Here is a 23253-nt window from a genome sequence, read left to right as displayed (position 1 = left end):
TCTCTTCTTTTGAGATCTTTCCCGATTCTGAACTTGGTTTACTATGTTGCATTGTCATTTACTCATTTGACATGTCTTAAGTTCTTCAAAGACAGCTGAGTATCTTATTTAGGTTTCTATCCCTAGGGCCAAGCATGGAACTTGAAATATATTGTGCATCTAAATATTTGTTTTTTCATTTTACCAAATAAAAAGGGCACTAAACATAGCTAACATTTGTATAATGGGTTATATTAAACTCTTAGAGTCTAAAGCCCTTATATTTTAGGAGGCAGGCAGTTTCACCTTTATTTGATACAATTTTTAGACTTTATAATTTTTCCCAAGAAAATAGTTCATGTTCGCTTCTTTTTTTTTGAGACATTATGCTATAAGAAGTATCACTTTTTAATAAAATATTTATAAAGCGTAACATATTTGAGACATGAGTGAATACATGAGGTTCAGAAATTTAGGAAGAGGAGCTCTAAATAGAGACTTCCTCTATATATGGTGCAATCTAAATATGCAGTTATCAAATAATGAGGTCTTTGATAGCCTGAAAACAACAACAAAAGGCAATACCTGATTATGAGTAGAATGAGATTTTATCTAGGTAATACAAAGAAATGCTGAAAGTCATACACCTACCTATGAAGAAGTAGTTCTTCTAGATAATTAGTTTAACATGAAACTAATTATCCTCATTTTTTATAGGTTGATGTAAGTAAGTAATTTTTTTTTTTTTTTTTTTTTTTGAGACGGAGTCTCTGTCGCCCAGGTTGGAGTGCAGTGGCGCGATCTCGGCTGGCTCACTGCAAGCTCCACCTCCCAGGTTCACGCCATTCTTCTGCCTCAGCCTCCTGAGTAGCTGGGACTACAGGCGCCCACAACCATGCCCAGCTAATTTTTTTGTATTTTTAGTAGAGACGGGGTTTCACCGTGTTAGCCAGGATGGTCTCAATCTCCTGACCTCGTGATCTGCCTGCCTTGGCCTCCCGAAGTGCTGGGATTACAGGCGTGAGTCATCGCGCCCGGCCCAAGAATTGATTTTTTTTAGTTGTATAGCTTTTTTGTTGTGAATTTAGAAAGTCAGTGTATTTGATGGAATTCTTCAAACTCAGAATTGAATTCAAATAACATCTTAGCAGCCTAGGTTATATGCCAAAATATACTAGACAGTCATATAAATGATCTACATGACTGAAGGAACTTTATGTAGTAGGTTTTAGATAAGGATTTGATCCTCATTTTGAAATAGGTCGTTTTATTCTGTTTTAAGGATGAGGAGACTAAGAATTAAGTTAAAAATATGCCGAAGGTCACACATAGAAATAGTAGAGAAAGGGTATGCATCCTGGTCTTTTACTTCTATTTTAGTTTTTTTTTTTTTCCTTCCATACGATGTTCCTATGTGAACTATATAGATGAAATACTAGTTTCTACTTAAAGAAAATCTAATCAAAGATTAACATTGCATTCTGGGATTATAATCCTAGCTGTGCCATTGAACATCTGTAATTTTGGGCAAATTTATTAATCAGGGTCTCAGTTTACTTATAAACAGATTTCTTTTTTTTTGAGACTGAGTCTCGCTCTGTCACCCAGGCTGGGGAGCAGTGGCGCTTTCTCAGCTCACCATGCCTCCCAGGTTCAAGCCATTCTTGTGTGCCCCACCACGCCGGGCAAATTTTTTTTTTTTCTTTTTTTTTTTGTATTTTTACTAGAGGCAGGGTTTCACCATGTTGGCTAGGCTGGTCTCGAACTCCTGACCTCAAGTAATCCACCCACCTCAACCTCCCAAAGTGCTGGATTACAGGTATGAGCCACTGCGCCCAGCCCAGCTTATAAACAAATTTCTTAATCAAGGCCTCTGTTTACTTATAAACAATTTGACTAAATGATCTTCACAGTTTCTTCCAACTTTTTTTTTTATTAAAAAAATTTTTTTGAGACAGGATCTTGCTCTGTCATCCAGGCTGGAATGCAATGGTGCAATCACAGCTCACTGTGCCTTGAACCTCATGGGCTCGAGCAGTCCTCCTCCCTCAGCCCCCTGAGTAGCTGGAATCATAGGCACATACCCAGATATATTTTTTTCTTTTTTGTAGGGATTGGGTCTCACTATATTGCCCATGCTGGTCTCAAATGCCTGGGCTCAAGTGATTCACCCACTTCAGCCTCCCAAAGTGCTGGGATTATGGGTGTGAGCCACCATAATTTGCTGCTCTTCCGACTTTAAATTTATCTGACTTAAAATATTGAATTAGTTGAAAAAGATAGCACAAGCAGCTACCAGGCATTCATTTATGCAGTCATTCAGCAAACCTTTATTAAGTGCCTACCATGTGAAAGGCTCTGGGTTAAACATAAGAAATGCAGGCACATACAGAATACAGCCGGACTTATTTTGGAATAACTTGTCTGGTCTAGGAAAATAGACATTTGAATAAATGCAGTAAAGTCTTAACAGGTACTTTTATATCTTCATAAGGTATAATGGGACTTACAAAGAAAACAGTAGTTATTTTTTATCTTGGAAGAGTCAGAAAAGGTTTTGTAGAGAAAGTAAACCTTAGCCTTGGTTGTGAATAATAAATAAATGTTCTTCTGAATGCTAGTTAGGGTAAGGGTGTTCAGTTCATTTTACAATTATTGAATGCCTAGTACATGGCAGGTACTGTGCTAGTCCTTGTTAATGCATAATTGCTTAATACACAGTCTTAACCTACCTTAGACTCTGGTAACAGATGTTGGCATAACAGATCATTTTAATACTGTGTGTTAAATAAATGCTAATTACCAAAAGTGCTATAGGAACACCAAAGATGTGTACTATATGCATAGTTGCAGGAGCATGAAGTTTAAGAGAGAGAAAGAGGGGAGGAGATTGGGTTAGATCCTGGAAGACCTTTATGCTGTGATAAGGTTTTACCTTGTAAGGTAGCCTTTGCTGCTCAAAGTATGAAGGAAGTGGTCACCCCTCGACCAGCAGCATCAGCCTTCACTTGGGAACTTGTAAGAAATGCAAATTCTTGGACTTATCCCAAACCTACTGAATCAGAAACTCTGGAAGTCAGGCCCAGCAATCTGTGTTTTATGCCCTCCAGCTGATTCTGAATTACACTACACTGTTTTTTTTTTTAATTGTGGTAAAATATATATAACAAAATTTGCCATTTTAAGCATTTTTTGTCTTATTTATTTTTAGAGACAGGGTCTCACTCCATCACTCAGGCTGGAGTGCAGTGGTGCAATCATAGCTCACTGCGGCATTGAAATCATGGGCTCAAGTGATCCTCCTGCCTCAGCCTCCCATGTAGTTGGCACTACAGGCATGCCCCACCACAGCTGGCTAATTTTAAATTTTTTTTGTAGAGATAGGGGTCTTGTTCTGTTGCCCAGGCTGGTTTCCACCTCCTGGCCTCAAATGATTCTCCTGCCTCAGCCTCCCAAAATGCTGGGATTACAGGCATGAGCCACTGCACCTGCCCATTTTAACCATTTTTAAGTGTACAATTCAGTGGCATTCACTAAAGTTTTTGAGAAGTACTGGTGTAGGTAATGGAAGGCTATCAAAAGAGCCTTTTCATTAGTTTACTGTGTTGACAATCTGAAAGCAAAAAGACAGCTAAGTGTTAAGAGAGGACAGGATTTTGCAGTAGTTAAGTAGTAGGTGATGAGGGCATGAACTGTTCCCAGTGGTATTGGGAATAGAGAGGAACAGATAGGACACCACAGGGAAGGAAGAGGTTGTTTAGGTAGGCAAGAAGGGGAGATCCTTTTGAACTTGTTGGGTTTGAGGTGTCTGTGGGACATCAAGTGGAGATGTGGCTTAGAAATGTATATAGGAAGGTGTTATGATATAGATGGAATCTAAAACAAAGGGATGAACTTTTCCTGTGTGAGCAAAAAATATGTGAGAAATGGGCTAAGGATGGAACATGGAAAACATAGAAGGAAATAGATGATTGGAGACAAAAGGAGACTGATATAGAAATCAAGGAAGTAAGATGTTTCCCAAAAAATGGGATGATCAGCATATCAAATGTTGCAATTGTGTTCAATAAGAAATTAACTTAGAGGCTGATTGGTTTTGTTACGACCTTAGGAAGAGTAATTTTAGAAGGTAGGTGAGAGTATAAACCATATTGTAGTGGGACATTAGCAAGCAGAGATAGTTGATATACCCTATTCTTTGAGGGGACAAGAAGAAAATTTTATTAGATTTCTAGTAACATAATAACATTGAATACTATCCAAATAACTTTTTTTTGTCTTTTTGCTTTTATCCAAAGTTTTGGCTTTCTAATTTTTTTCAACTTGGCAGCTATGATTTATCTCTATTTTGTGGCTTTACCTTTAGGTGTGCTGTTTTGTGTAGGTGGTCGAGGTGGATCTGGTGACCCCTTTCGCAGTATTGAATGCTATTCTATCAACAAAAACAGTTGGTTCTTTGGACCAGAAATGAATAGTCGAAGGCGACATGTGGGTGTAATCTCTGTGGAAGGTGGGTCCACTCTTGTCTGAAATATCATATGATCACAATGCTCTTTTTAAAATATTTCAACTCTGAGAATTTATTTTTATATAAGAAAATGACTAAATTGTAAATTATTTTTAAATAAAATGCTTGGTTAGTGATAATTTACTTGCTTTGTGCCCACAGATGCTCAGTGTGCATAATGTGGAGATGAATATCAGAGAAAAGAGATATAAAGAGTTAAACTATTCTGAGTTATAGTTACCAAAAAACTAAACCAAGGAAAAATGTTTATAGAACTCAAATTATAATTACATATCAGCTTTTTTATGCCCATCTAATTAAAATTAATGATTATTAGTACAATTAATTTTTTTTTACTTATTCCTGAAAATGAATTAATTTTAGAACCATGGATAAATTGTCAGAAAACTCTAAAAGATCACTTTTTTATTATAAAAGTATAAATGAATTTTTAACAATATAAAAACATTTTCATAAAAAATGAAAACCACTTGCAACACAAACACCCAGAAGTAGTCACAGTTGACATTTTGGTGTACAATCTTGCCTATCTTTCTCTGTGTGTTTTTGTTTGTTTTATTGAGGAAAAAAATTGATCATATTAACAGTTTTATGGAGATTGAGGTGGGAGGATCATTTGAGCCTGGGAGTTCAAGACCAGCCTGGGCAACGTAGGAAGATCTTGTCTCTACAAAAATTTAAAAATTTAGCCAGACATAGTGGTGCACGCCTGTGGTCTCAGCTACTTGGGAGGCTGAGGTGGAAGGATCACTTGAGCCTAGGAGTTTGAGGCTGCATTGAGCAGTCATAACGCCACTGCACTCCAGCTTGGGTGACAGAGCAAGACCCTGTCTCAAAAAGAAAAGCCAAACAACAAACCAGTTTTATATGTATGTGTGTAAGTGTGTGTGTGTGTGTGCACAGTTTATATATATATATATAGTTTTTGTTTGTTTGTTTGTTTGTGTTTTTTTTGAGATGAAGTTTCGCTCTTGTTGCCCAGGCTAGAAGGCAGTGGTGCGACCTCAGCTCACTATAACCTCCGCTTCCCAGGTTCAGGCAATTCTGCCTCGGCCTCCCAAGTAGCTGGGATTACAGGTGTCCACCACCACACCCGGGTAATATTTTGTATTTTTAGTAGAGATGGGCTTTCACCATGTTGGTCTTGATCTCCTGACCTCAGGTGATCCGCCCACCTCAGCCTTCCAAAGTGCTGGGATTACAGGCATGATCCACCATGCCCAGCCACCAGTTTTATATTTTCAAATATAACCTAATAAGAGCATTTTTCCATTTTATTAAGCATTCTCTGAAGGCATGATTAGTGATTTCATCTACCAAGTAATAAAAAGTTGGGAAGCCTAAGGGGGGGCGATAATATTAGAGCATTTACTAATAAATAACTTCATGTAGAACAGCATGTTTAGTGCAAGCTTACATTGATTTTTCATTCAACTACTGAAATGACATTGATCATAATGTTGAACAGAACAGCAATTATTGAAAATTAACTTATGGTGATATTTTAATTATATAATGTTTATATATGTAACATTAATGATATGAATTTATTTGTTTGGAGTCAAATGAAAATACTTCTCTATTTGACAGGTAAAGTGTATGCAGTAGGTGGACATGATGGAAATGAACATTTAGGGAGTATGGAGATGTTTGATCCTCTCACTAATAAATGGATGATGAAGGCATCAATGAACACAAAGAGGTAGATCAGCATGGAAAGTTATTTTGAACTGATGGTGGAAATAAAGTTTCTTAAAATTTAAAGGCCTTATTTTAAACTTTTTTTTCTACTTTAGAAACTTTAAATACCTTCTCAAACACATTTTGTTAGCATGTCCAAAGTGATACTTTGTTAACACCTTTTATTTTTTTTAAGAATTAAAAATGCAGTCATGTTTTAGAGTACCATATGGTAGTCACAGTTTTCACTTATACATGAGCATTGATTTTTTTAAACATTTTATTTTGAGATAATTTTAGTTTATTCAGAGAAGTTGCAAAAATATTAAAGTTTCTGTGTACCAGTGGTTCTCAACTGAGGATGATTTTGTCCCCTCTATGGGACACTTGGCAGTGTCTGAAGACATTTTTGGTTGTCACAGCTTGGGGATGGGAAAATTGCTGCTAGCATCTATGGGAAGAAGTCAGAAATGATGCTAAAGATTCTATAATGCACAGCAAAGAATCTTCTAGTCCAAATGCCAGTGGCAAAGATAATCCCAAGTGCCAGTGGCAAAGATAATGCCAAATGCCAGTGCTGAGATGGCAAAACCTTGCCACCTACCCTGCACCTGGCTTCCCATAATGTTAACATGTTACACAGCCATAGCAGTTACTGAAATTAGCATTGAACAGTAGTATTAATTAATCTGTAGACTTTTTGAGTCAATTTTCCCAAACATCCTTATGCTTCTTACTGATTTTTCTTGTCTAATTGTATTGCCTAATAATCTAATACAGGTGAATAATGGCAGAGATAGTAGGTGTTTTTGTCTTGTTCCTGATCTTATTAGAAAAGTATCTAGTGTTTTGCTATTAAATAAGATACTGACTTTAGGACTAAGGTATCTATATTTTTATCATGTTAAGAAAATAGTCCTCAATTTCTCTTTTCTTCATTGATTTTTATCCTGATGAACAGTAATATTTTAAGTTCTCACCTACATATTTATGTTCTCATTTACATATTTATGTTCTAATATTTATATTCTCATCAACATAAACTGGAATATATGCTGATTAATGTATCAGTCTAAAGGGAAGATTTTTAGTAACATACTTAGTACTCTAACCTGTTTGACACTTTCATTAATGACTTGAATACCAGCTTTTTAGATATCCTAAGGTGGAAAGATCACTAAGGCATGTGACCAAATCAGGATTCCAAAGACGGAGTAGACCACATATACTCTAGACAAAAACCTAAAAAATGTTAAAATTAGAGTTATAGGTTAAAACCTGCCTTAGGTATTTTAAAAACTCAATCCCACGAGTACAACATAACATGGTGGGAAATCAGGTTTTTGATTGTTTCATATGGAGAAAAGTACCTGAACCATTATGAAACACAGCTCTTAAAAAAAAGGAAAGGAAAAAAGTGAATATAATACAGTTGCCTACATTAAAAGAAGTGAAGCCTTAGATTAAGGGAGTTATAGTTGTATTGTTCTTGACACTGATCTCTCCGTATCTATAGATGTATTGTTGAAGTAGGGTATATAACACCAGTTGGGGTATGGGAATAAAAGATTAGACTCTCTGTACATTTTTAAAAATTTATTTTGGGTGGATGTTTTATAATGAACATAACTTGTTAGTACAGTAACATGTTTATAATTTGAAAATAAGATCTATAGAAAATGCACAAAAATGGATTGTAATAAATGTGAGAATGATAATCTGGAATGCATGTAAGAAAAAACTAGCAGGTTAGTAATACAACTGAAAACCATGTTATCTACAAAAAATAGTTGAAGCGTTGTGATCTGGAGACAAGAAAACTTACAGGAGTTACTAGATATTTTAAGAGTGTATGTTGATTTAGTAGGAAGGAATAAATATTTGTTTATGATTCAGTATAGTAGCAATGAAGCATACTGTAATTCCTCCTAGTGATTGGAATTGTATTGTCAGAAAGATCACATATATTTTGCACCAAATGGGAGATTAAATTTTATTGCCTATTTTTTTTCAACTTTATTGTTCTGTTAATAGCGTGAGGATTTCAAAGACTGAGCTTAATAATTTGTATAAAACTAGATACTAGAATAATTCTGTCTCTGTGTCAGAGTGAAAATATAATGCGAGAAGAGAGAAGAGGGCTATCTTAGTAAATATTGAAAATATTGCTGAAGAGTTTCTTTTAATAAAACTGCAGGTGGGCCGGGCATGGTGGCTCATGCCTGTAATCCCAGCACTTTGGGAGGCCAAGATGGGCGGATCACCTGAGGTCAGGAGTTTGAGACCAGCCTGGCCAACATGGCAAAACACCGTCTCTACTAAAAATACAAAAATTAGCTGGGCGTGGTGGCGGGTGCCTGTAATCCCAGCTGCTGCGGAGGCTAAGGCATGAGAATCGCTTGAACCCAGGAAGTGGAGGTTGCAGTGAGCCGAGATTGCGCCATTGCACTCCAGTCTGGATGACAAGAGCAAAATTCCGTCTCAAAAAAAAAAAACTTGCAGGTGATATATATATATACACACACACATACACACATATATATGATATATAATGATACTGACCTTAATATATATAAATGTATCACCCACAGTTTAATTAAAAGAAACAAACCTGAACTAGTAAAACCATACCTGAGACATTGTGGCTTATATGGTTGGCAAATTAGCACCATTCTGCAAAAATGACTTGTTATCAAAATGAGCAATTAAAAACTAAACCACACATGGGGATATGTTGCCTCTAATTTTCTATTTTTGATTAATAATATTTTCAACTGGTTTTTGCTTCTTGTGTTAAAATATGAAAGATTAAAAAAAAATGTGAAGACATTTTAAGCTTTTTTTCCCCTCATGAAAAAGAATCCTAGAAAAAAAAAAAGCTAGTCTTAAACTGTTATCTCCCACTGTCTACAAATGACATTTTAATACTTTAATAGGGAGTGATTTACACTATGTGATAACTGCATGGATTAAAATGGGAGATAAAATCCCAAAGTACTTTTTTAATCTTTATATCCCTGTTACTATGTTGGTTTTTAGCCAAAGATTGAATGAAACTTCTCTAGCAAAATAGCAATTGAATTTCTTTAATCTTTTAAAATATGCCCCGAGCATTTACAATCTGTGTGAAAAATAATAGAGCTACAATTATTTTGTCATATTATTTGTTTATAACTTATATAGCCCCAAATCATCTTTTTGGCATTTCAATACATTTTCACATGTGAAATATCTGGTTATCTTTATTTTTTTATTTCATCTTTCCACTGAAATGGACACCGATGTTTGTTTAAGCTATGAGTCTGTTGAAACCCATCATCCTGACAGCATGTCTAAAGGTTCACTTATTTATTCAAAAAAAAGTTTTAAATGCCCACCACAAGACACACCAAGTGGTAAAGATACAACTTTGTTTTTTGCTACCAGCAGTAGAAAACATAGCCAGTGTCTCTGCCTCTGTATAGCTTACATTGTAGAAGAGAAGATAACAAATAATGACATAAGGGCAATAATATTAGCATGGGGTGAGTAAAGGGTGCTTGAGGAGTGGAGAACATCTTAATGAAGTCCCATTTATTATGATCTGAAGGAACTGCAGAATTTAGCCTGATTAAGTTATTATAGGTGGGGTAAGAGTGGTAAGTGGAGGGAGATGAAGAGCCTTCAAAAACCAGGCGATGAAAGAGAGCAAAGAGCATGAAAGTGGTCCAATGTAGTTGGAAGATTAAGGGGAAGAGTGTCTAGAAATGAGGCAGAAAGAGTAAGTAAAGGTTGAAGGCCTTTCAAGTTTGCCAAGGATATTTTATCTGATGGGCTTTGAATTAAACATATATATTTAATATGCATGTATAGTAAATATACATTTTATATTTTTATTTAAATAATAGGGGAATTGTAGGATCAGATTTCTCTTTTCAGAGAACTTCTGCATTCAAAATGGAGAAGGGATTTGAGGATGACCAGAGTGAAAACAGTCTGACAGACCAAAAAGGGTTATTGTAATTCTTCATCCCTTGATGTAAAGAAATAATGGTGGCTTAGACTATACTGATAGAAATTGAGATAGAGAAAAGAGGACATATTTGAAAGATAGTTCAGAGGTGTATGGTCAAAAACACTTTATGATAATTAGAAAGAACAGTTAGGTAGAGGCAAAGATGATTCTTCGGTTTCTGCCTTAAGCAACTGGATGGATAATGGTATGATTTCTGAATTAGGAAAACAACATGGTGAATGGGATAAAATTTTTGTTTGTTTTGTGATGGGGTTGTATTAATTTTCTATGTCCATGTAACAAATTGCCCCCAATTTAGCAGCTTAAAATAGCACCCATTTATTAGCTCACAGTTCAAAAGTCATGCAGGTTTTGCTAGGCTTTCTACTTAGGGTCCCACAAGGCCAGAATCAAGAGATTGGGCTAGGCTTTTGTCTGGAGGCACTGGGGAAGAAGCCACTTCCAGGGCCATTTAGGTTATTGATAGAATTCAGTTCCTTGTGGCTATAGGACTGTTTCTCATTTTTATTGGCTGTTGGCTACAAGTCACTGCCAGATCCTTCCCACATGTTCCCCCCCACCTTCAAACAAGCAATGGCACACTGCATTCACTTGGTTTTTTGAATTTCTGACAATCAGCTGGAGAAACCTCTCTGCTTTTGAAGGTTTGTTTGATTAGATTAGGCCCGCCAAGGTCACCTCCCTTTTGCCATATAATGTAGCATAGTCATGAGAGTAACACCAGGGGATGAAGGTCATGGGGGATGAGGAGTATCTTAAAATTCTGCCTACCACAGCGAGGTGGGCAGTGAGTTTCATTTCAGATTAAAGTTAAGGTTGAAGAGCCAGCAAGACATATTTGAGGTAGAAATTGGGTATATGTCTGAAAATATATATTTGAATTATCACAAATCTGTGGAAAGAATGGGATATGCTTAGGGAGAGAAAGTGTAGAGTGACCCTTAGGGAACTTTATAATTTAATGATGGAGTAAAGAAGGCACTGATGAAGCTGAAAAGCACTAGCCAGAGACGTAGGAGTGGACTAAAACGTATGATGTTATGAAAACCAAGAGAGTTTTGAGGAGTAGGAAATAAGCCAATGATGTTGTCTGCTTTTGTCCTTTAAGGGGAGGGACAATTATGAGGCATACTTACTTTATTTCCCTGACCTAACATCGTTACATTCTAGAGAACACATGTACTTGTTCTCACACACCTGAACATTTTTATCAGCACAGTATTTGGTAAGTCATAGCTTTATACCCAAGAGAAAAGAGGTTGAGGAGCTTGAAAGTGAATGATAACATTATCCTTAAGAATTCTTTTGTTGGATACTCTCTGGTAAATTTAGAGTTAGAATCTCAGTGAAGCAGCTGCTTTCTCCAATAATAATAAAAGCTAATACTTCATAGAACTAAATATGGGCCAGACATTGTTCTTAGTGCTTTACATGTATTAACTCATTAATATCCATCTATGTCTCAGATGAGACACAAGATAGTAGAGGTTTATAAATTATCCAAGCTAGTGACAAAATAATAGTTTGATAATAGTTCAACTTTTGATTGGTGCAGTGTGTTTTTTAAGAAATTGAGTTTTTTTTTTGATCACTGTTAAATCAGCTTTTAACATGGGCTAAGTCTCTTACTTTTAGAGAGAAATAAATACGCTTCAGAAATAAAGCAACGTGACATAAAACTTGTAATATAAAATTTAATACTCTTTTGTGTGGTATAATGAAACCCTGCAACAAAATGAGCTCTGTAATTGCATGGATTTGTAAGTGAGATTGGCTTCTGACCTCCGCTGCAGAACTTCTCTGTCAACTCATTAACCTCTCAGTTATGCCGCTGTGTGTGCACTAATTGAATATTTTGAACTCTTTTATACTATTTTGTTGGGTTATATTTTATTGTTTTGAGTTTAAAGTAGCCTGTGTAGGCTATGCACTGTACAACTTCAGGGGGCAGTATTCACATAGAGTTGCACAGTTTGGCAATTCTGTAGCCATCTAGTCAAAAGCTTTGATAGATCTAAAAATAATGGAAACAAACTATACTGTTTGAAGGTTAACATGATAAATGATTTGCATTAGCACAATTTTTTATATGACTTTTTTTCCTGGAAACAAACTCATTTGCTAAAGTATGTTTTATTGTCTTTGCAGGCGAGGAATTGCCTTGGCTTCCTTAGGAGGCCCAATTTATGCAATTGGAGGGTTAGATGACAATACTTGCTTCAATGATGTGGAGAGATATGACATAGAATCTGATCAGTGGAGTACAGTGGCACCAATGAATACTCCCCGTGGAGGAGTTGGCTCTGTTGCTCTAGTAGTAAGTTATATGGCAACTTGTCATTAAATTACATTGCATTACATTCATAACCAAAATAAGGAAAGGTCCAATATATCATCACCAGTATGAAGATATTATATATCATATTATTTCCTGAAATACTGCCTTGTACATTCTAATTTACCATTAAAACAATATATAAATAAATTCGAAATCTAATGTGTTTTGTTTGACTCTCTTCATTTAGAACCATGTTTATGCAGTAGGTGGCAATGATGGAATGGCTTCTTTATCTAGCGTGGAGAGATATGATCCACATCTGGATAAGTGGATAGAAGTTAAAGAAATGGGTCAGCGAAGAGCAGGCAATGGAGTTAGCAAGCTTCATGGTTGCTTATACGTAGTTGGTGAGTAAATGGGTATTTCTCTAATATATCAGTATATACAATGACAAGTGTCATATAACAGAGTAACAAAAATTACATTGCATTTAGCCTTAAGTAGAATCGGTCCTGAAATGTGCTTTTGAATTCTTTCTTACAAAATTTTGTTTATAATTAACAGAGAATTGTACATGTTCAGTCTGATGCTTTTGAATTCTTTGTTTTTTTTTTTTTCAGAGGGAGACAGTGTCTTTCTGTTGCCCAGGCTGAAGTGCGGTGGCACAATCGTAGCTCACTGCAGCCTTGAACTCCTGGGCTCACATGATCCTCCTGCCTCAAGCCTCTCAAGTAGCTAGGACTAGAGGCCCAGGCTATCACACCCAGCCAGTTTTTTTCTGTTTTTTGTAGAGATGGGTTCTTGCTGTGTTGCCCAGGCTGGTCATGAACAACTGGCCTTAGGTGATCCTCCTGCCTTGCCCTCCCAGAGTGCTGGGATTACAGGCATGGGCCATCATGCCTAGCTGAATTGTTAAGGTCACATTCATAATTTTTGTTTAAATCTTCATCTTTCATGTTTAAAACATGTACAGCCTTATTTTTCTAAGAGTAACAAATTTATTTAAAGAAGGGGATTACATTTAAATAAGGTATATGTTTTTAAATGGAAGGACACAGATTGAATGTGCTTTGCTACAATAAATTTTAAAAGGTCTCAGATTTGTTTTTCTCAACCTCATTTCAAGGGAAATTATGTTGAATACTTCAAGTAAGCCAGTAGGTATTTATTTATTTATTTTTGAGATAGAGTTTTGCTCTGTCACCCAGGCTGGAGTGCAGTGGTATGATCTCAGCTCACTGCAACCTCTGCCACACATGTTCAAGCAATTCTCCTGCCTCAGCCTTCTGAGTAACTGGGATTACAGGTGTGTGCTACCGTGCCCAGCTAATTTTTGTATTTTTAGTAAAGACAGGGTTTCATCGTGTTTGCCAGGCTGATCTTGAACTCCTGACCTCAAGTGATCTTCCTGCCTTGGCCTCCCAAAGTGCTGGGATTACAGGCATGAGCCACCACACCTGGCCTAGGTATTTCATATAAATAAAGGTCATGTCAATGTTTATATTGCTTTTTTTTTTTTTTTTACTTTAACAATCTTTTATTACCAAACCCCATGCAGGTTTAACGCTTTAACCCACCTAACAGCAAAAAAAGGCATTGCTAACAAGATCAAGGATGAAGGTACAGACCCAATAAAGATTGTGTCTTAAAAAAGAAGGATATATATATATGTGTGTGTATATATATGTGTGTATATATACGTATATATATACACATATATATACACACACATATATACACGTATATATACACACATATATATACGTATATATATACACATATATATACGTATATATATACACACATATATACACACATATATATACATATATATATCTTTTAAAAAATAAAAATCTCCAGTGTTGCAGAAAAAAATATTATAAATTGATTTCAGTCCATAAAAAACAGCATGCAGCAGTTTGTGCTATCTTAAAAACCCCAACTCAGGATAACCCTAGGAGAAAATCACCTCCCCCCATTAAAGAAGAATTCTCTTTTCTATTCTTTCTTGTCTAAATTTCACTGCTTATTCCACAAAACGCCGAAAGAATAACAAGACTCAGTTCACATCCCTCAGCCCTTGTCTGTCTGTTAAGGCCAACACCAAGCGCTGTTCCTTAGGAGTCTTCACCTTTACTACAATCAGAAAATTGAGCCCTAATTTCACGGCCAGATTTCTAGAAACCTGCAAAACCCTCATAGTTCCCTCAAGGAAGGACCTGAAGGCCCCTTGAAAGATCAAGGGAGTATAAGTGTACTTGGCAGAGACTGGAATGCCTGCCAGGCTGGGAAAAGGGGGCCTTTCTACACAAAAACACCCCCTAAAATACCTTGTAGTTGAAAGTCTAACTAGGCAAAACCAAGTAACAGCAGGCATCAAACTATGGTTCTACCTAAAGGGTATATATCTTCCCCCTTTAACCATAAAGGTAAGGCGGGGGGCGGGGTGTGGGGTAAAGAGAGCCAAGTGAGCATTTGACTTCATCTGTCTTCTGAGAAGTTAGCATATTTTAGGCTGAAGCCATGTTGTAGAGACATTTGGCCAAAGGATAGTCTTTGCTATGTGTGGCTATATAAAGCTGCCATTTCTGGGCAACCTGGTTCATGGCTGCTTTATGGAAGCTTTACCCCTTATGCAGAGTATTTAAGAATTAATAGGAAATTTTTCAGTTTGATTTTGTAAGTGACAAATACTTTAACAACAGCTTCCCAATAACCACCAATGGAGACAGACTACTCCTCAGCTCAGGATCATAGCTCCTTCCAGTCAGTGGGCTTCTTGCTAGACATCTGCAGGAGCTCATTGGTCTTAGAAAATTGTCTACATCCAAAGAACCCTCTGTACACGGGAAGGAATGAGCCATCTGCAGCACATGGTGCTGCTTCCTGTGGATGGCACTGCCCTTCTTCTTAGCATAACAGCCCCAGAGCAGAAAGACAAGGCCATTCGAGTTCTGATTTAGCCAGGACACAACCGCATTGGTAAATTGCTCCCAGCCTCCTCTTTCCTTATGAAAATTGGCTTGATGGGGCAGAACAGTGAGGACAGCCTGGAGTAGGAGAACACCTTATTTGGCCCACCCAGATAAATCTCCATGACCAGGATGAATAAAACCATATCTGTAGATGGCTCTTTATAAATGTTTTCCAAACCAGGCAGAGGTGGAACAGGTCTTTGAACACTAAAGCAGCCCATGAACTTGATTCGGTCTCTAATATGGGTCCTGTCCTGGGATGACAACCTTCACATCTCTTATGTCACACATCTGGGTCCAGGTGAAGACTTAGTGTGGGGGTGGATAAACAGTGTAATGTTTCCTTTCTTCTGCGACAAATCCTTTTATCTTGATAAAATAACGTTTCCCGAATTCCATTGAGGTGCTTCTTCCAACTCTCACCAAAGCCCATGGACATGTTACAGGCCATGAGTCTTGAGTAGGGCCACAGCCTCGTTGCTCTGGATACTGACCAACTGCCCAGCAGCAAGAAGGGCAGCGTCTTGGGCTTGTCTTATCTGGCCGGGGCCTTCTTGGCAGGAGCGGCCCCCGCATCCTCACTCTCCTCACCATGGCTGCCCTGCTGGTCCCCAGGTCATCCGGCTCAGGGCTGCAGGCACGTTGCTTCCTGGTGGGGCTGTGGGAACGAATGCACACCACTTGGGGACTGCAAGGCTTGCCCTGGCTGTAGTGTTCAGTAATTGATCTATATTGCTTTTTGACTTACTGAATTGCAGAGTTGGGAGGAACATTAGATCAGTGATTTCTCAGACCATAATGTGCATATGAATAATCTGGAGATCTTGTTATATTGCAAAGGAGGGGCCTAGTTTCTGTGTTTCAAACAGTTCTCAAGTTATAGTGATGCAGTTTCAGGTTCACACAACACACTTCCAGTAGCAAGGCTTTAAATGATTATGAAACGGGAATAATGTCTATCTTTCAGAATCATTTTAAGAATAAGAGATAATACATGTTAAGCATCTCAAAGTGTTTCCGGCACTTTGTAGTTCCCCAGTACATGATTAGCTATATTGTGATTAGTAATACCTTCCTTTATAGAGGAGGAAATGAATTCAGAGAGGTTGTCACTAGCAAAGGTCACATTTGCTTATATATGTTGATGTAAATTGTTTGTGTTACTTAACATATTTCTTATAGATATTTATATGCTAACAATACAGCATTCTCTTATAAGTAGCAGAAGTAATGCTGAATCTTTCAGTGCTCATGTGTATTAAAGAAGAGGGGAAGTAACATAATTTACCTCTACATCTTGCCTGATTATCACAACAGCTCTGTAATGTAGTCAAGAGACTCAGAGAGAATGAATAATTTACTCATGTTCACATGCATAAATAAGTGGCAAAGCTGGAATTTGAACTTGGATCTGTGAATCCAAAGTTCTTATGTTACATCATTGCTACCTCTCACAGCTCCCTGTCTACCACAGGCATTGACATGTGTTATATGTCGACAGGAATAACATTGTTGCTGTTACTTTTTAAATCTTTTGGACCCTTATAATTAGAATAGACATGGTAAAAATAAGAATGATTCAGGTTGAACATTAAAAAAATCTTCTTGGTCATTCAGGTTCTACTTAAAACAGGTACAACTGATTTGAATAAGAAAAAATTGAAGGTGTGGGCATGTCTAACATCCTAATTGCATTTTGCTTTTTCTATCCCTGGTTTGAATTCTTTGTTATAATACATTTTTATGCATTATCTGGGGAAATGATAGGGAACTAGTGAAAAAGAAGACTATGGAAAATATAGCTATCAAAAACTTGGCCAGGTGCAGGGATTACCCCTGTAATCCCAGCACTTTGGGAGGCTGAGGCAGGAGGATCACTTGAGGCCAGGAGTTCAAAACCAGACTGAGCAACATAGTTGAGACCTCATCTCTATTTAAAAAAAAAAAAAATTAGCCAGGAGTGGTGGCATATGCCTATAGTTCCAGCTACTTAGGAGGCTGAGGTGGGAGGATCGCTTGAGCCCAGGAGGTTGAGAGTGCAGTGAGCTGTGATTGTGTTACTGCACTTCAGTCTGGGCAACAGTCAGACCCTGTCTCAAAACAAAACAAAACAAAAATTTAAAAAAACCCTTAATCTACATTAGCATGAGCAATAATTAAAACCAAACCCTTTATTATAATGAAAAAATGTTTTATATAATGGTTGTAATGGTAATGACACTATACATTTGTCAGAATTCATGGAAAGAATGCAGATAAAATTGGTGAATTTCATTTTAATTGATTTAATAAAATTAAACCCATTAGAGAGGTTGACTTGAATTTTTTTTTCTGACCTTTTTTTTTTTTTTTTTTTTTTTTGAGACAGAGTCTTGCTCTGTCGCCCAGGCTGGAGTGCAGTGGCACAATCTCGGCTCACTGCAAGCGTCCGCCTCCCAGGTTCACGCCATTGTCCTGCCTCAGCCTCCCGAGTAGCTGGGACTACAGGCGCCCGCCACCATGCCCAGCTAATTTTTTTGTATTTTTAGTAGAGACGGGGTTTCACCGTGTTAGCCAGGATGGTCTCGATCTCCTGACCTCGTGATCGGCCCCCCTTGGCCTCCCAAAGTGCTGGGATTACAGGCGTGAGCCACCGCGCCCGGCCTCTGACCTTGTTTTTATATAGATTGATCATAATATCAATACTTTCTATTCTCAGTAAATTAGGCTGTCACCAAAGAAAGCTATTATATTCATTTAGACTTGGAGCTCAAAAAGAGACACTTGTTTTTAAAGGAAGGAGCACTGTTGAAATAACAGTCTCTATAACCTCAGGAACAGATTAAGTACATTGCTAGAATGAGCTATAGAAAGGACTGCTATCTTCTGGAATATGTAGGAGGAAAATGTTGTTATGACAAAAATTGGTGAGAATTCAGTCATAGTCCACCATTTCTGTAATTATGATGGCGATTATAGTATTAAGGGAAACAATTGGAAAACTTTAACTTTTATCTGGATGAATCATGATTCAGTTTATTCCTTTCTTATGCCTTCTTACTGTTTAAGATATAATACACAGAGAAGGAATCTCAGTACTGTCTTGCTTGTCTCTAGACGGCTAAGGACAAATTTATGAATGTTTGTGTTTTTTTTTTCTTTTTCTCTGAATTATCTGCTTAGATACAGGGACTCCATTTTTTTCCTACTTACAAGATCTTTAATCCTAGTATTGAGGAAAATGTCACTTACCTAACGTGGAATTGTAGACAACATCTAATGGTAGTTGTTGGTGGTGGTAGACAGGTATTGGGATGAATTTTTTAAAAAAATTTTCTCTAAACCATTCTAAAATGATTTTAAAAGATTGGGTTGTAAAAGCCATTGAATTGAAATTTAGTAGTTAATTTCTAAGGAATGTAATGCTGTTTTTAAAATATTTCTTTACATAGGTGGTTTTGATGATAATTCTCCTCTGAGTTCAGTTGAGCGGTATGACCCCCGAAGCAACAAGTGGGATTATGTGGCAGCACTTACTACTCCCAGAGGTGGAGTGGGAATCGCAACAGTGATGGGCAAAATCTTTGCAGTTGGTGGTCATAATGGCAATGCATACTTAAATACAGTAGAAGCGTTTGATCCAGTGCTGAATAGGTAATTTACATGTTGTCTCCGTGCTTTATATTATCTTCTGGTATAATAGTAGATTACTTCAGAGTGTTAAAATGTTGCTAGTCGTAGTTAATACTAAGCTTTGGGATATCTTATCTCCCACTGGAAGCTTGCTGTCCTACAAAACCAGTCTCACATAGGGAATTTTTGTCTTTGGTTAGTATTTTGAGTAAAGTAAATTATGCTTTGTAACATTTTTTCTTCTCCGTCTTTTCAGGTGGGAGCTTGTTGGATCTGTGTCTCACTGCAGAGCTGGAGCAGGAGTAGCTGTGTGTTCCTGTTTAACTAGCCAAATTCGAGATGTAGGTCATGGATCCAATAATGTGGTTGACTGTATGTGATTTGAGTTCTGGCCACCAACAATTTAGTCATATCTGATAGGTACAAAAGAAAACCAAGATTTTGATATGACCACCTTTCAACACTTTTTACTGCAACTAGAGTCTTATTTAAATGTTAACTGTTGTATTGTGACTAAGTACAACTTTTGGAATGATACCTGAAGAATTATTAGTAATAGAGTTAAATTTGATACTTCCTGCTTTTGCAAATAATGGAGTAGGGAAGAAGATAGTCGAACTTAAAATCATACCTACCCTGAAAAATGCTTAAAGTAGTGCCAAAAATCTTGAAATCTCTCTCTCTCTCTCTATTTGGATGAATCAAAATGTAATTTGTTGAGTTTTGCCTTTTCTTTTGCCTAAAGATGTTAACGTCAGGCAGTGGGTTTTTCCTAGAGGAGAGATTAGTACCTATTCATTAACACAAGGATACATAAGAGACTTGCCCCTTTTGAAGATCATTTCTACTTGGTGCTGATGAATTTATGCCTAGCTTTTTTTTTCTAGGTGGTGATTTTTCAATTTCTTTTATATTTACGGAAGTAGAAAAAATGTTCTGTCTTTTTGAATGCCACTTAGCTGCATTTTCAGAAGCTTATAGGCTATAAGAAGCCTTTAATTTCAGTTTGAATTGCTAGGACACCAAAAGACCTAGCTGGGCTAACTCCATCCAAATGATTTTACAGTTTTATTTTTTCATCTTTTGCAAAAAGTATTTGTTACATAATCAAAAGGTGAACCAGAGGAAATATTGAACAAGGTTTTAGATCTGATGTTATTCTGGTGCCCAATTGAGAGACCTTGAGAAAGAATGATGCAGATTACATGACTCTAATGTGGGCAGTCTGAAAATATCTTTAACTGTCTTCTTTGATCATTTGATTTTGGATCCAAGATTTATCATCTCTCTATTTTGCTATTTGCCACCATCCTGGTTTTTCTGACTGTACAGAATCAATCTGCATTTATTTATTATCAGAAATGAATGCATTTTTACAAAAACCTTTTTGTAGACTGTAGTTTATTGATTAGTTCAAGCCCATCACGAACTAATTAAACATATTGTTGGTAAAAACAGAGATTGAAATTACTGTTTTTATCATATTTAAATCCCTCTGGTGTATTTATTGAAATTTAATTAAAAATATTTCTACATATTGATTTGAAGCCAGGATATTGATGGACCTACAGATTTAACAGCTCTTCAAAGTTTTAACTAGCATTATAAAATGGCCTATTCATTATATGTATATTTTTTTATAAATATTTATCAAGAACATGAAAATATTTTATTTTGTATTTGCAGTGCAGTTTGGCACCTCTCTTCCAGGCCTTCCTAAGTTTTTGTTAGTTGTGTCTTCGAATTTATTGTAGTTCACCGCTGGTCAGTAATCTGGTTCATAAGGAAGCTGGGGCAGTGAAAAACACTTCGTTGATCCATCCAGCCCTAAAGTTCATTGACTAATAGCTCATGCATCTTATTAAATGGGATTCTGGACTTCTACAATAGTGTGGAAAGCCACATCACAAAAAAAGCCACATCACAAAAAAAAGCCAGTGCCTATTGAGTATATCAAACCAAAAAAGAAAAAAAAAAGTTTTAAGAGGGGTCAGGCTGGCAGATAAAAGTCTCTTATGAAGCAGATATAAATCCAGTAAGCTATTTTTTTCTACCTATGGGCAAGTTCATAAGTCATTGCTGGATCTGAACCAGTGTTCTTTTGTGTAAGTACAACCATATTTCAGTCAGTCCAGAGGCAGTTAACCCTGTAGCACTTACTAGACTGGTGACAACTGGCTGGATGTGGAGAATAAGTGTCAAAACCTGGCTTCAATGTCTATTTCTTATGTCTAATGGAGTTCTTATATTACAGTGTTTGTTTAGCTATGGTTACTAATATGTTTGTTATATTTATTTTCGGGGAGAGGATCTTGTTATTGTTTCCTGAGATTATTTAAAATGTTTTTTCTTTGATGTATTTCTGTCTTTCTTATATGTAAGGAGTTATAAGGGTTATTATATTTTCATTTCTGGTTTTTACTATACAATGGTTATCTAACATACTAAGTTGGTACCCTACCTACCCGTAAAATATGAAATACTCAGAAGTAAAGTGTGTGGGCAATCAGAAGCATAGCCTTGAAGGACCTGACAGCAGTATGAAAAGATAAATAGGCCAGGCATGGTGGCTCACGCCTGTGATCCCAGCACTTTGGGAGGCCGAGGTGGGTGGACCACCTGAGATCAGGTGTTCAAGACCAGCCTGACCAACATGGTGAAACCCTGTCTCTACTAAAAGTACAAAAATTAGCCAGGCGTGGTGGCGCATACCTGTAATTCCAGCTACTCAGGAGGCTGAGGCAGGAGAATTGCTTGAACCCAGGAGGTGGAGGTTGCAATGAGCCGAGGTTGAGCCATCGCACTCCAGCGGTGAAACAAGAGTGAAACTCCATCTCAAAAAAAAAAAAAAAAAAAAGATAAAAAAGCAGAATCAATATGTGCACAGTTCTCTTTATCAGGCAAAAACACGTTTATTGAGACATGAAATGAGAATCAGGCTGAAGGAATCATGCAGCTGAAAGATGATTATATTCATAGAAATGAAGAGATGAAATATTCAAAGAAGATGGCTACTTTATTGTGAGACTTACCACTTTAACCTCATATGTTAACAGCACCTACCAAAAAATGATATGAGATAGAGCTAAAATACTGAAATTGCAAATGGACAAAATAAATCATGAAAATTTGTTTATTATTTCTTCAATAAATATTTCTAGGTGCTTTGTGATTCTTTCATTTAGTCATTAAAGCCATTGCTTTACTATATTGCGTTGCCACTTTAAAAACAAGTTACTTGACATTGTTTTTGACAGATTTCACTATATACTTATGTAATTAATTGATTATTTCTAAAATGTTTGAATAAACTTTGTACTCCCTCTAAGGAGTATTTTATTCATTCTTTTAATTCCCAAATGAACTTTGAACTTACAGTGCTGTTGAATGCCTTGGTAAGGACTTCTTGAAATTGCATAAACTATTCTTGTAAATGGTAAACTTGAGAATTTTCTTTGTTTCTTTTTTCTCTATGTCTTAAAGAATGCCTTTAGAATCTAATTCATGTTGTATCAGTTAAGAATGTTTCTGTGGTTTCTCGTATCAGATGTGTAAAGAAATTATTACTGGGATGCCATTGGCTATGTCTCTTTCCCCTTCATGTAAAATTCCAAGTGTCAGTAAAACTTCTCTATAATATTTTCTTAAAACCATTTATAAATTTGTGTTATAATACTCCAGAAAATCAATGTAATAAGTGGTCATATATATCACCAACTATGGATATCAAAAAGTTGGGGTCACATCAGTGCTATTTATTTAATTAAAATACATTGCATATTTCTATTAGCACAAACTTCTCTCTAAAAGGTCTGTGTAACTGCTTCTCATCATTATTTGATTGCTGTTATGGGATCCTGTCAAAACTGTGTAATTGTTTATTCTCCATTCCTCAAATACAAAATTGAGTAGGTTGGCTATATTTTTCTCCTTATATGAAGGATCTTTATGTTTAACTGAAAATTTTAGAAAGCTTTTCGTTTTCCCTTATGAAAATTAAAGGTTGAAGGTAACTGATGTAAGTAGTTTCACTGATCTTAAGCAGTTGTCTCTTCAGTAATTGCAGACTTGTACTATATAGAAATGAGACTATGCATTAGGATGACTGTTGTCCTTCCAAGTAGAAACCTTGCAAAGTTGTAGCTTTTTAAAAAAATTAAGGTTGCCATTGCTAAAACTTCTTTTG

General features: G+C 36.6%; 1 protein-coding gene and 1 pseudogene across 9 annotated transcripts in view; one reads left to right on the top strand and one right to left on the bottom strand.

Moving 5' to 3' along the window:
* KLHL8 (kelch like family member 8) overlaps positions 1–22863 on the top strand; it is an 80429-nt gene extending 57566 nt beyond the window's left edge. For all 9 annotated transcript variants that reach the window (NR_120447.2, XM_047416014.1, XM_047416012.1 and 6 more), the window contains 6 exons: positions 4346–4489; positions 6098–6209; positions 12351–12519; positions 12728–12887; positions 18887–19088; positions 19324–22863. Coding sequence is in view for 8 of the 9 variants with exons in the window: in XM_047416014.1 (XP_047271970.1) it covers positions 4346–4489; positions 6098–6209; positions 12351–12519; positions 12728–12887; positions 18887–19088; positions 19324–19447 (911 nt within the window). In the remaining variant the exon portion in view is untranslated. The remainder of the gene's footprint in view (positions 1–4345; positions 4490–6097; positions 6210–12350; positions 12520–12727; positions 12888–18886; positions 19089–19323) is intronic.
* On the bottom strand, positions 15035–16120 carry LOC100419572 (uracil DNA glycosylase pseudogene; annotated as a pseudogene).
* Positions 22864–23253: the final 390 nt, after the last annotated feature.

This window comes from Homo sapiens, chromosome 4 (genome assembly GCF_000001405.40).
Source record: "Homo sapiens chromosome 4, GRCh38.p14 Primary Assembly".
NCBI lineage: Eukaryota > Metazoa > Chordata > Mammalia > Primates > Hominidae > Homo > Homo sapiens.
This window is presented reverse-complemented; position numbering and strand designations above follow the sequence as displayed.